This window comes from Homo sapiens, chromosome 5 (assembly GCF_000001405.40).
Source record: "Homo sapiens chromosome 5, GRCh38.p14 Primary Assembly".
Taxonomy (NCBI): Eukaryota; Metazoa; Chordata; class Mammalia; order Primates; family Hominidae; genus Homo; species Homo sapiens.
The window spans coordinates 39,018,341-39,032,950 of record NC_000005.10 but is presented as its reverse complement, the minus strand read 5'-3'; the positions used below and the strand labels follow the sequence as shown (position 1 = coordinate 39,032,950).

The window sequence follows — 14,610 nt, the reverse complement described above, 5'->3', positions numbered from 1 at the left end:
GTTAGGAAAAACCTTTACTAATCTAGTCTGAGCTAGACTTCTAAAGAATGACAAAGTTGTTCCCCAAGTTGGGTTGAGAAATAAACGGCATGCCAGGTTAAAGGGACCTAGTGCCATCTTGCTGTCCATGTTGCTCTGTCTCTGTCCGTATCATTGCCTCTCAAGAAGTGCTTCATGGTTTGTCGTTTTTCTGAAACAGCTATGAAACATTCAGTTGGTTAATTGCACTTCAGTTTTCCTACCTAGGCACTGGTTCTCCCAGCAGTTTCTGCTCATGAACCTCTTTTCTAATGTGTGACTCCCTGTATTCTTGTGTCTGTCTTTATGATCTTGGGGGTAGTGGCTTGCCCTGTGTCCTCAGTTCTCTTACAAATTCAAGAAGAGTTGTTGATTTTTCAGTTTGTTCAGGTTTTTACTTGTTGTTAGCATGATGTGATGACTTCCAGGCTCCTGTTGTGTGGAACCAGAAATGAAGTCCATGTTCAGTTTTTAGTATGATAAACTTAACATTTTAGGAACATTATAATCCAGTTAAACTGATTGACTTGCCATTGTAATTGATTGACAGGTTTTTCTTTACTATTTTTGCCATTGTATTTATATTTAAAATATACCAATGATCAAAAGATTATTATGTGCTTCAGTTGCTTGAGAGGAAACATGGTTATTTCAAGTATGTAAACGGAAGATAATACTTGTTCTCTGCATTCCAGATGGTTACACCAGAACAAATAGACAAAAATTACAAAGGGGCAGATTTTGGCATCAGTAAAGAAAAAATGTTCTATTTTTCTATCCAAAGATGGAATAGGTTCTCTTGGCAAATTTTGACTTCCTCTGCATAGTTATTTTATCATAAACTAGAGGCCCTCAGAAGATGCTATCCTTGGGATACAGCCTTTCTCTACTAAATTATATAACTTTTTGAAATTAATAATTGTTAGAATTTCAGGAAATGTTAGATTGTTTGAAGCAATGCTTTTCTCACCTTTTGTACCTGTGGATAAAGGTGAGAAGATGGACTCCCAGTGTCTTCGCTAGTGGAGATAGTTTTGCTTCTGGCTTTTGCAAAAGTAATGCTAACTACAGTAATCTTCGTATGCTTTTAGTCATATCTGCTCACAATAATCATAGATGATATTAAAGACATAATTCCATATCAGATTTGTGTAATTGTTTAATTTTGTTCTACTGTTGAAGTCGCATATGTATCCAACTTTTCTAGTTGGATATATTGTAGTATTTGTTTATGTGTATTCACAAATACATCATAGAATGCATTGTTCAGCTCTACTCCCAGTCCCAGTTTCTCTTTGAAATTTTCAGGAAGGTAGATAAAATGATAAAAGTTAGATTTGTACAGTTAATCTCATGGTGGCTTGGAGATTGGATTAGAAGAAAGAGAGGCAATATAAGCACAGGGAATTAATTCATTGTGCAGCTTTTGCCATAATTTAGGTATGAGTTAGAAGAGCACAATTGAAATGTGGCTGTGGTTGATAGAATTTAAAAAAAGGAAAAGATGTCAGAAACTTTAGAGAGGAGTAAATAGCACTTTGCTGGCCAGTTGAAGGTGAGAGATCAGGGAGAGGAAAATGTCAAAGATAACTTTTAAGGATAAATTTTCCCTTAAGGTGGAAAAGAATTTAAAGGACCAGTAATTACTCAGAGTTTGCTTAACTGCCTTTTCTTTTCAGTGCCTCTTTAAGGCGGTTATCAACAAACCTGGTCAGTCATTAACTGTAATAATCATTGTTTCTGAACAGTTATAGATGATAAATGGAAATATATTTAGACATTTGCTTCAAGATTCTAGTCAGCCTCCAGCCCTTCAAGAAAACATTTTATAAGTGATTTTAATTAGAAGGAGCTCATGAGTGTGAAAAACCTTGTATGAAGCCTAGAAGAAGAGATAATGACAGGAACTAAAGCTTTGTTAGGTTCATGCTGCCTGATAGCCGTTATATGCATATCACCCTCCTTTCACATACTCCTTTTGTAGTTGTTTCTTTTTCCTTCTTCTCTGTCCTCTTGGTGTTTTGCTTCACAGGGCAATTGGAAGGGATAATTAGCAATACTTACTGGAATTGGTACATGACCAGACATATACTTCATGCTTAGTAAATGTTGGTTGGACCCTCCTCCTCCTGAGTACTGTTAGCAACAACAACCTGGTCTTAAAAAATGTTTACTCACATATTTATTATTTAATATAGAAAAATAATTCTTGAAAGCCTACTGTGTGGCAGAGACTGTGGTAGGCATTTGAAGATAATTGTAAGCAAGATGTCCTTGTCCTCATAAAGCTTAAAACTCTTCATAGAATCTTGGTTCATGTTATATAACTGTTCACCTGTTTTTTTACTGTCCTGTTTTAGAGTGAAAATATTAGAAATTACAGAGCTACACAGATAACGCTCTAGAGTAAATGACATCTCATCCAAACTACTGAGAGTTTAGGTAAGAGTGATGGGAAATTAAAGGCTAGGTAAGTGATGGGATAGTGAATAAGAATTGAGGGATCCTTGAAGTGACCGTAAGATGTTGGGGAATATATTCTGAGAATATACTTATGACAACATAGTGGCCTGTTGAGTTATCAGCATATTTGGCTTTATTAAATTTGTACTGACTCCTTTAATTTATTATAATTTACTACTCTTGCATGACTGAAAAAAGTTTTTTTAAGGATTTGTTTGAGGTTTCATTAATAACAGTTTTAGATAGAATTATGTATCAAAAAGTACGTCATATGTTATATAAGCAAAACAAATTCTACCTGCATATTAAATGATTTCAGGTAATTCACACTAAGAGGAAGAGGGTCATAATTTCTAGTATTTGTGTAGCACTTTATGGTTTGAATATTTCTATATGGAATATCTAATGTGATCATTAACATAGCTCTGGAAGGTCATTATTGTTTCTACTTTAAAAACGAATTAATCTTGGATCATGAAAGTAATGTACTACTAAAACCCTCATATAATAAAAGTTAATTTAAATAGACTAATGTGTTAAACACTTGCCTGGGCCAGCTGTATAAATTTCACATGATTACTCTGTGAAAATTGGTTATGCTAAACAAATAACTTTTAATTATAGTCATTATTTATTGAGTAGCTGTTATGGGCTAGGCACTGTGCTAATAAGGAAGTTATATCTCACATTTTGCAAAAGCATTTTTAAAGTAGGCAAATATTTCCACTTTACGTAGAGAAAATGGATGCTCATAAAGTTAAGTGATTTAGCCAAGGCTACATGGTTTAGGGGTGAATGAGCTAGACTTGAATTCAGTTCTTTTTTATTCCAAAGGTTTTTTTTCCTTTCCATTACTCCCAAGTAGCATGTGCATGCCATCAGTTTTTGGTCATTAATTTACTATAGGTACTTGGATTCAGATTTGTTTAAAAATCAGTTTTGTGTTGTGTTATTTATTGACAGGTAAAGATAACAATATAGTTTATTGCAGCAAGTTATAAAGCAGCATATATTGAAGCCAATTTTATATTAATGTTTACACACATATATACATATGTGTGTGTACATGTGCACATACAGAGAATTGAGCCAAGAAATAAATAAATGAATAATTAGTGAATAATGGTTTATATGTTAGTTTTCTCTTGGTGGTGTATGTATTATGTATCTTTGTATATGTGTGTGTTTAAATATGTAAAGTGTTTTATGATTAGTGACTTAAATGCATCTTTGTTGAGCTGTAATTAACACAAAATAAAATGTACATATTTTAAGTATGCATTTAAGTGTCATTCAATAATTATCCACTACTTCCAAACAAGATACAACATATTTTTATCCCCTTCCCTAAACCCCCTTGCCTGTTTCCAATTGGTTACTTTATCTTCCAGCAATCACTATCTGATTTCTATCATCATAGATTACTTCTGCTTATATTTGCATTGCATACAAATAGAATGATACAATATATACTCTTGTGTCTGGCTTCTTTTTCTTAACATTTTTGAAATTCATCTATGTTGTATGTATAAGTAGTTTGTTTTTTTCTTATTAATATTGTTTTGGTTTTAAGAGACTGGGTCTTGCTCTGGCACCCGAGCTGGAGTGCAGTGGCACATTCGTAGCTCACTGCAGCCTCAAACACCTGGGCTCAAGGGATCCTCCTGCCTCAGCCTCCCTAGCTGCTGGGATTACAGGCACGAGCCACTGCACACAGCTCTGTTCTTTTGATTTTTGATTAATATTCCAATATGTAGATATACTACAATTTGTTTATCCATCTGTTGATGGACATTTGGGTTGTTTCCACTTTGGGGCTGTTATGAATAAGGCTGCTATAAATATTCTTGTACAAGTATATTTGTGGGCATGTATTTCTAACTGAGAGTGAAATTACAGAATCATAATATTGACAGATGTATGTTGCCAACAGTTCTTTAAAGTGGTTGTAATATTTCATGCTCCTCCAACAGTGTGTAAGAATTCCAGGCCGGGCGCGGTGGCTCACGCCTGTAATCCCAGCACTTTGGGAGGCCGAGGCGGGCGGATCACGAGGTCAGGAGATCGAGACCATCCCGGCTAAAACGGTGAAACCCCGTCTCTACTAAAAATACAAAAAATTAGCCGGGCGTAGTGGCGGGCACCTGTAGTCCCAGCTACTTGGGAGGCTGAGGCAGGAGAATGGCGTGAACCCGTGAGGCGGAGCTTGCAGTGAGCCGAGATCCCGCCACTGCACTCCAGCCTGGGCGACAGAGCGAGACTCCGTCTCAAAAAAAAAAAAAAAAAAAAAAAAAGAATTCCAGTTGCTCCATGGCCTCTCCAACATTTGATGTTGTCATTCTTCTTGATTTTAGCTATTCTTATAAGTGTGTAATGGTACTTCTGTGGTTTTAATTTTCATTTTCCTGTTAATTAATGATGTTAGGCACCTTTTCTCATACTTTTTGGCCTCTTATCCTCTTTTGCTTTCACATCTATTTAAATCTTTTACCTGTTTTTACATGGGTTATTTTATTGTTGATTTGTAGATGATAGTCATATATTGGTTATTAAAATCTTGTCTGATGTTTGTGCTGTGAATGTTTTTTACCCATTTTGTGGATTGTCTTTTCATTTTCTTAATAGTCTTTTGATGAGCAGAGGATTAGATACTTATGTCAGATAATTAACTTTATACTAATTAAGACTGCTTTCTATTGTTCTGTATACTTAGAAAAATATTTAACACTGATATGTAAAAATGCTTCTGCGGGATGGAAGTGTTAGTAATTTTTTAACATTTTCTTTGGCTTTTTTATTTTTCAAAATGTCTACAAAATAATGTAACATCAGAAGTACTCTAAAAAATAAACTTTAACATAAATATGTGTAACTTATGGTGACATTAATATATAATACTCTGGTGAATACTATATACGTGCCATGCAATACATGATAATGAAGCACATATAAAACACATTACACTTACATTTATTATATTTATTTTAAACTGCTTTTTCCATTTTTACTTATAAAAGCAATGTAGAGAGATTAATTATTTTAATCTAGTCACAGCCAGGAAGTCTTCATTTTTTTTCAGTTCCTCTCATTTTGTGCATGTTTTTTATACTCATTTAGAGAAGTAAAATATAGTCCAAGATATAAAAATAAATCATCAGTAATTTTTACCACCTAAAATTAACTTCTCTGAAAATATTTTTGAAGTATATACTTTCCTAATTGCAAGAATCCTTGAATTGCCATGTATTATCTCCTTGGGGGTAATTAAGTGTTAACCCCATCCCTTTTCAGCTATACTTAAAGTTTTATACAGTCCTCACTTCCAAAAACATATAAGGCAGTGTAATGTCAAGAAAATAAATCTCTTGACATTTTGGTTTCTCTCTCAATCTGCATTTTGTTTTTCTTAATAATGCTCAGTAATTAGTATGTGAGAGTAATACATTATTTTTTATTTTTTTGAGATGGGGTTTTGCTCTTGTTGCCCAGGCTGGAGTGCAATGGTGCGATCTCGGCTCACCACAACCTCCGTTTCCCGGGTTCAAGTGATTCTCCTGCCTCAGCCTCCTGAGTAGCTGGGATTAACAGGCATGCGTGACCACGCCCAGCTTATTTTGTATTGTTAGGAGAGACGGGGTTTCTCCATATTGGTCAGGCTGGTCTCAAACTCCTGACCTCAGGTGATCCACCCACCTCGGCCTCCCAAAGTGCTAGGATTACAGGTGTGAGCCACCGCACCTGGCCATCCATTAAATTTTTAACTCATCTATTAAAAACAATACCACAGAGTATCTACAGTGTCACAAGCAGAATAGGCAACTCCTCGATGGAAGGACAGGAGAAGACAGATCAAATTAAAGATGGTTGAAATCAATTGTATTCAGCTCTACAATTGAATATATTAAATCACTGGATATTTGGAATTGCTGCAGTTACTGCATTACTTCCAGAGAGATTCATCAGGAATACGTGTAGTATTTACAGTCTACACAATATGATGAAAAGAGCCACTGTAATTCTAGTAGTTCTTTTGTATTTTGCTTCCTTCCATTTGAGTAGTTGCCTATCATAGCAGGCTACCCACATTTATTTTTTCCTTTTGTTTTGTTTTGTTTTGTTTTTGAGACAGGGTCTTGCACTGTCTGTTGCCCAAGCTGGAGTACAAGTGACATGATCACTGCCCACTGCAGCCTTAACCTCCTGGGCTCAAGCAGTCCTCCCACCTCAGCCTCCCGAGTAGATGGGACTACAGGTGTGAGCAACTGTGTCTGGTTATTTTTTCCTTTTTTCTCTCATACAGCCATGGTTTTCTAAACTTTAAGGCTTCAGAGAATATCATCTTATTTCTGACCTGATACTTTTCACGTAGTGCTGTTATCCGTAGACAGTTTTAGAGAAGGAAAATTGGAAACACAGAGTAGGAAGAAATAGAGACAGGTAAACCTCTCTTTAAGTTTCTTTTTGCTATTTCTATATCTAGTCACCCTATCCCCCATATAAAAATCATGTCAATCTCAGCTTGCTCACTACTTTAAGTGGTGACACTCTAAGGGTTGACAGACTGCAGCTCGAGAGCCAAGTTTGTTTTATTGGAACAGTGCAATGAACTGAATGTTTGTGTCATTCAAAAATTAATATGTCAAAATCCTAACCCGTAACGTATTGGTATTAGGAGGTGGGCCTCTGGGAGGTAATTAGGTCATAAGGGTGAAGCCCTCACAAGTGGAATTAGTGCCCTTATAAAAAGGGACCCCAGGGAGTTCTCTAGCCCCATTTCCCCACCATGTGAGGAGACAGTGAGAAATTGGCAGTCTGCGACCTGAAAGAGGAACCAGGACCTGACCATGCTGTCACCCTGATCTTGGACTTGCAGCCTGCAGAACTATGAGATATAAACTTCTGTTGCTTAATAAGCCATTCGGTCTCCATTATTTAGTTTTATAGTATACTGAACTGACTTAATACACATGAAAAGTCCATTTTCTGCACTTGCTTTCTGATCTAAAACATTAGAGTTGCATAGCTGCATTGGAGACTTATGGCCTGCAAAGTCAAAATAGTTACAGAAAATGTTTTTCAGTCCCTGGTCTAGCCCTGGTCTAGGTAAAGAAGAAAGCAGAGATTTCTCATTTTATTACCAGGGAAACTTTAACCTGTTATTTCAAGTTAAAAAGTTCCTCAGCAGCATTGTACCACATGAATGTTAGATGGTAGTTTGGTGTCTAAAATGGCCCTAATACTGTTTTAATTGATCTGGAAGTCAAATACTGTCTGGGAGGTGGAGGTTCTTGGTAATTATATAAAGGAGAAAGCTTTGAGGAGGAGAAGGAGGGAGAAAGGCTGATTCATTTTGGTTTGGGTTAAGAAGGATAACATCTTCATTAGGCAAACATTTGACTCATTGTTGAGTTATCATCACCTGTCAGTTTTTAAATTATGTGCATGCAGTTTGTTGTTGTTGTAATCAGTTTTCTTCCACTTCTATGTTAGATACATTAGAGAGGGAGTTGTCTTGTTTATTGCTATATTTCCAGTACTTAAAACAGTACCTGATCATAATAGCCATTCAGTTAATATTTGTTGAATGAATACACTTAGATATGAGATTTTGCTTTGTAACAAGATTGTGGTTTTAAAAAAATGTCTGCAATCAGTTTGTACCCAGAAAATAGGCAGTATTTAAAAATTTGCAAACCTTTGTAAGGAATCTATCTTTTCAGACTAATCATCGTAACTATTAGTCCTGTTAGATCATTAGATAGCAGTAACTATATTGTCACGAGTTAATCTGTTTGGTGCCTGACAAGCTAATGATAAACTGAAGTAAAATGTTTAGATTATACATTTCCATTAGAAGAGTTTCACACTAGCTTCTATGAACCTCAACCCTGACTTTGCAAACTACCATAGGTCCTAAATTATCTAGAGGGTTGTTATAAAATTTTTATGAACTTCTCAAATATAGTTAAATCATCTTAATGCCATTGACTTGCTTATAATTATTCTCCTATAGTCTTTTCAAACAGATACAATTTATAGTAGTGAAAAGATATTACTAAATACAGTGACCTATTCATGGCCCCTTGTAATTCTTTTTAATATATCCAGTCTCACTCAGTGATGGATCATTCAACTTTCAAAATAACTCCCCAAAATCTCTAAGTATAAAGACATACGCTAAACCAGAAGTCTCTAGCCCCTGAGCCTGGACTGGTACAGGTCTGTGGTTTGCTAGGAACCGGGCTGCACAGCAGGCAGTGAGCAGCAGGGGAGTGAGCGTTACTGCCGGAGCTCCACCTCCTGTTAGATCAGCAGCAGCATTAGATTATTAATAGGAGCACAAACCCTATTGTGAACTGCACATGCGAGGGATCTAGGTTGCGCACTCCTTATGAGAATCTAATGCCTGATGATTTGAGGTGAAACAGTTTCATCCCAAAACCATCCCCACCCCGGGTCCATGGAAAAATTGTTTTCCACAGAACCTGTCCCTGGTGTCCAAAAGGTTGGGGACTGCCACACTAAATCACTTAAGATTGAATTTTATTTACATTAAAAATATTTCATCTGTCATGAAAATCCAATGATTGATCTCAGCATGTAGCAACTTCAAAGCAATTGGAAATAGCTAAGTAGTGTACTTAGTGCTTTGACACCACATTTGTTGTCATAGACAACACCCAGTATAACAGAATGGAGTAAGGTAGGCAGACGCAAGCTAAATTTAAAGCAGGACAGTGCAAACCGTTTCATTTGATGAGGAAAACACTAATTCAAAACAGTTCCTTGCATTGGTGTTAACAGATAAAAGTCTCAAAGGAAGTCATAATGGCTCTTAAACTAAAATATCAAAAACTTGGTAATGTATTTTAAAAATTGTGCTTTTGTTTTTATTTAAAACAAATAGGATGGTGAAGATTTTAATAGTTTATAGCCATCTGAAGAAATTGACACTCTATTCCGGAGGTGGCAAACTACTGCCTATAAGGCCATATCTGGCCCATGGCTTGTTTTTGTGAAGCATATTTTTAAAGCATTTGTTTCATTACTTTAAAGATGTTGCTTCATTGTCTTCTGTTTTGGACAAGAAATCCGTTGTTATCTTTTTTTTTTGCTTTGCTCTATGTAACTTCTTTTTTTTCAATCTGGTTACTTGTAAGATTTTCTCTGTCAGTGGTTTTGAGCAATTTGATTATAATCTGCCTAGGTCTAGTTTTCTTGGCTTGTTTCTGTAAAGCAAGTATTTTTTAAAGCATTTTTTCTTTCATTATTTTAAAGATGTTGCTTTACTGTCTTCTGTTTTGCCCTGTTTTGGATAAGAAATCCGCCGTTATCCTTTTTTGTTTGTTTGTTTTTGTTTTTCTCTATGTAACTTCTTGTTTTTAATCTGGCTACTTTTAAGATTATCTCTATCAGTGGTTTTGAGCAATTTGATTATAATCTGCCTAGGTCTGGTTTTCTTCATGTTTCTTGTGATTGGCGCTTGTTGAGCATTTTATTGGTTTATTGTTTTCATCAAATTTGGAAAGTTTTCATCCATCACTTTTTTCTTTTTTTGCAAATAAGACTTTATTAGGTACTTTCTCTCTCTTATGAGGAGGATTTGGGTCCTTCCAGATGAAGCTCCAAATTGCTAGACAATACACTGTTTCCTTCAGTTGCAGCAAGTTTATCCCACAGTGGGTGCTCAGGAAAGCATCTTGAGGGTGAATGGGTTTCAGGCCATTCATGGTTAAGTTTGTCTGATGCTTTTGTTAGTTAAGATGTTCCTGTGTCATTTCTTGGAAGCAGTTTTGTGTCTCCCTCCAAATAGTCCACCACCTGGCTGCACCCCACCTCCATCTGTCCCCCAGCTACCAGGTAATAGTGAATGGTTCAGAAGGTGCTGCTCTAGGGCAGCCAGGCCTTTAGCTGCAACACAGAACAATGAACAGCAGCAATTTCCAACTCCCTTCATGGGTCTGATGCGAGGTCATTTTGATGACCTTCTAGTTGCACAGGATAGAGCAGTAAGACAGCAGAAACACCGCTGGCAGCACCTGGCAGGGGACAAGAGCCGTATTTGCAATAGGCCTGGGAAGGCTGGGTGGCCTTTAGCCATCATTTCTTCAAGTAATTGCTCTGTTCCCTCAATTCTTTCTTTTCTTTGGGGTTTCCAGTTACACATATGTTAAGCAGCTTAAAATTCCACAGCTCACTGATGAGGTTACGTCCCAATACATGCATTGTTAAGTTGAAAATGTCTTAAGTCAAAAATGCATTTAATGTACCTAATCTACCAAACATCTTAGTTTAGCCTAGCCTACCTTAAACATTCTCAGAACACTTACATTAGCCTATAGTTGGGCAAGACTATCTAACACAAAGCCTATATTATAATAAGATGTATTATATTTCATGTAATATATTGAGTACTATATTGAAAAACAATGGTTTTATGGGTTCTTGAAGTATAGTTGCTACTAAATGTGTATTGCTTTGGCACCATGTAAAGTTGAAAAATTAGGTCTAACCGTTCTAAGTCACAGACCATCTATATATTTTATCTAATTTTTTGGTTTACTCAAACAGGGACAGTATATTTCGTCCCTTTTACTACACTGTAGCCATGCTATCAAACAGCTATCAAGTGAAAGTTGTGATGCTGAGATTTTTCTTAGTCTGTTTCATGCTGCTGTAACACAGTATCTGAGACTGGAGATTTATAAAATACAGAGATTTATTTCTCACAGTTCTGGAGGCAGGGAAGTCTGAGGTCGAGGGGCCTTCATCTAGTAAGTGCCTTCTTGCCATGTCATCCCATGCTGGAAGGTCAAGAGAGCACTGGAGGTGGGGTGAGGGGAGAGATGCTTGTGAGAGCATGAGCACAAGCAAGGTGGGGGTGGTGCATGCAAGAGAGAGCCAAAAGCTTTTATAACAAACTCACTCTCATGCTAACCCATTTCCTCCTTAACAATCCATTCATGGGGGCAGAGCCTTCATAACCTAATCACCTCTTAAAGGTCCCACTTCTCAGCACTTTTGCATTAGTGGTTAAGTTTCCAACACAACTTTGGGGGGAACACATTCAAATAATAGCAAGATTTAAGATTTTGTGGTTGAGTAATTCCAGGCAATGATACAGAGCTGGACCATGGGTACAGGGGAGTAGAGATGTGAAGTTAATTGGATTCGTCACAGACTTTGAAGTCATTTAAATTAACAGATTTGGGGTGGAGGGTAAGACTTTAAACCAAGAGCCAAAGTTGTGAAGTTTTAATACTGCATGTTTTATGTGTTTGAACAGGAAAATACTCATAAAATTGTGTTAAATTGTCTTGTCTTTCCTTCTAGAACCTTCTGATAACTTAAGAGAGATTCTCCAAAATGTGGCCAGATTGCAGGGAGTATCAAATATGAGAAAGCTAGGCCATCTGAATAACTTTACTAAGGTAAGTAACTTGAATTTTTATTATTGTCTAAAATTCTTTGTTCCTTACCACACTTACTAAATGTTTCTTGACCATCATTAAATACAAATTCTTGTGTATTCACTCAGCATTAATGCTTTTCTTTCCTGCTTCTCATGGATTTTGTCCAGTGTATCTTAAAAATGTATTTGTGTAATAGAAGAATTATATCTTTGTTACAGAAAATTTGGTAGGTTCAGAAAAGAATAAAATCACTGAGAAATTTACAGTTCAACCTTTTATTCACATAAGGATGTATTTCTTTTGCCTTCTACTCATTTTACTTGATAATATATGGTACAGGCATACATTGGAGATATTGTGGGTTTGATTCTAAACCAGTGCAATAAAGTGTCGCAATAAAGTCAATGTTGTAATAAAGCAAGTCACGAGTTTTTTGGTTTCCCAGTGAATATAAAAAGTTATGTTTATACTATAGTGTAGTCCATTAAGTGTGCAATAGCATTATGTTTTTAAAAAATGCGTGTACCTTAATTTAAAAATATTGATTAAAAAATACAGTCATCTGAGCCTTCAGCAAATTGTGGGGTTTTTTTTGTTGGTAGAGGAACTTGCCTCAATGTCAGTGGCTGCTGCCTTATCAGAGTAGTGGTTGCTGAAGGTTAAGGTGACTGTAGCGATTTCTTTAAATAAGACAGCAATGAAGTTTGCCGCATTGACTCTTCCTGTCACGAAAGATTTCTCCGTAGCATGCAGTGCTGTTTGATAGCATTTTTTCTTTCAAAATTGGAGTTAGTCCTCTCAAACCCTGCCACTGCTGCATCAACTAAGTTTCTGTAATATTCTGAATTATTTGTTGTCATTTCAACAGTGTTCATAGCATCTTCACCAGGAATAGATTTCATGAAACCCCGTTTTTGCTCTTCCATAAGAGGGAACTCCTTATCCATTAAAGCTTTTTTCATGAGATTGCAACAATTCAGTTGCATCTTCAGGCTCCCCCTCTAATTCTAGTTCTCTTGCTATTTCTTCCACATCTGCAATGACTCCCTCCACTGACACCTTGAACGCCTCAAAGTCATCCATGAGTATTGGAATAAACTTCTTCCAAATTCCTGGTAGTGTTGAGATTTTGATTTCTTCCCATGAATCAGGAATGTTCTTAATGGCATCTGGAACGATAAATCCTTTCCAGAAGGTTTTCAGTTTGCTTTGCCCAGATCCATCAGAGGAATCACTGTCTATGGTGGCTGTAGTGTTGTAAAATGTATTTCATTAAAATAAAACTTGAAAATCAAAATTATTCCCCAATTCCCCGATTCATGGGCTGCAGAATGGATGTTGTGTTAGCAAACATGAAAACAACATTAATCTCCTTGTAACTGTCAACTCTTGGGTGACTAGGTGCATTGTCAATGAGCCGTAACAATTTGAAAGAAATCCTTTTTTTTCCTGAGCAATAGCAAATACTGTTTTCTCAACAGTATGTTTAAAATATGTAGTAAACCATGCTGTAAACAGATGTGCTGTCATCCAGGCCTTGTTCCATTTGTAAAGCACAGACAAAGCAGCTTTAGCATAATTCTTAAGATCTCTAGGATTTTCAGAATAGTAAATGATCATTGGGTTCAATCTAAAGTCACGAGCTGCATTAGCCCCAGACATGAGTCAGCCTGTCTTTTGAAGCTTTGAAGCTAGACATTGACTTCTCTCTAGTTATGAAAGTTCTCGATGGCGTCTTCTTCCAGTTGAAGATTGTTTCATCTGCATTGAAAATCTGTTGTTTAGTGTAGCTACCTTGGTCAGTGATCTTAGCAGTATCTGCTGGATAACTTGTTGCAGCTTCTGTATCGGCACCTACTGCTTTACCTTGCCATTTTATGTTACGGAGATGGGTTCTTTCCTTTAACCTCGTGAACCATTCACACTTTTCTTCTGCAGCTTCCTCACCTCTCAGCCTTCATAACATTTAAGAGAGTTGGGGTCTTGCTTGCTCTGGGTTAGGCTTTAGTTTAAAGGAATGTTGGTAGCCAGTTTAATCTTCTATCTGGACCACTAAAACTTTCTATCAGCAGTAAGGCTGTTCTGCCTTCATATTATTTGTGTGTTCATTGGAGTAGTACTGTTAATTTTCTTCAAGAACTTTTCCTTTGCATTCACAAGTTGGCTACCTGTTTGTCTCAAGAGGCCTCTCTGGACTTTCTTCACTAAGCTCAATCTCTAATTTGTGATTTAAAGTGAGAGATGGTTGACTCTCCCTTTCACTTGAACACTTAGAGGCCATTGTAGTGTTATTAATTTGCCCAATTTTACTGAATATTTTGTCTCAGGAAATAGGCCCAAGGAGAGAGGGAGAGACAAGAACAGCTAGTTGGTGGAGGAATTGGAACACACATTTATTAAGTTCATCGTCCTTTATGGGTCCAGTTCATGGTGCCCCATAACAATGATAATAGTTACATTGAGGATCACTGATCACAGATCACCCTAACAGATAATAATAATGAAAACATTTTTAGTATTGTAAGAATTGCCAAAATGTGACAGACATGCAAAGTGAGCGCATGCTTTTGGAAAAATGGCACCAATGAACTTGCTTGAAGCAGGTTTGCCACAAACCTTCAATGTGTAAAAAACAGAGTATCTGTGAAGCTCAATAAAATGAAGTATGCTTGTAAGTATTCATATGTAACTACATATGTGTGCCATATTTCATAAA

The 14,610-nt window shown here is 36.6% G+C and overlaps 1 protein-coding gene and 1 pseudogene across 10 annotated transcripts in view; one reads left to right on the top strand and one right to left on the bottom strand.

Moving 5' to 3' along the window:
• RICTOR (RPTOR independent companion of MTOR complex 2) overlaps window positions 1–14,610 on the top strand; it is a 136,480-nt gene that overhangs the window by 41,449 nt on the left and 80,421 nt on the right. For 9 of the 10 annotated variants that reach the window (NM_001438249.1, NM_001438049.1, NM_001438247.1 and 6 more), the window contains one exon: window positions 11,815–11,912. In NM_001438249.1, the coding sequence (NP_001425178.1) occupies window positions 11,815–11,912 (98 nt within the window). Of the gene's footprint in view, window positions 1–2,378; window positions 2,461–11,814; window positions 11,913–14,610 lie in introns of all 10 variants that reach the window. The other variant, XM_047417068.1, reaches the window with a different exon arrangement.
• On the bottom strand, window positions 10,393–10,540 carry AIG1P1 (androgen induced 1 pseudogene 1; annotated as a pseudogene).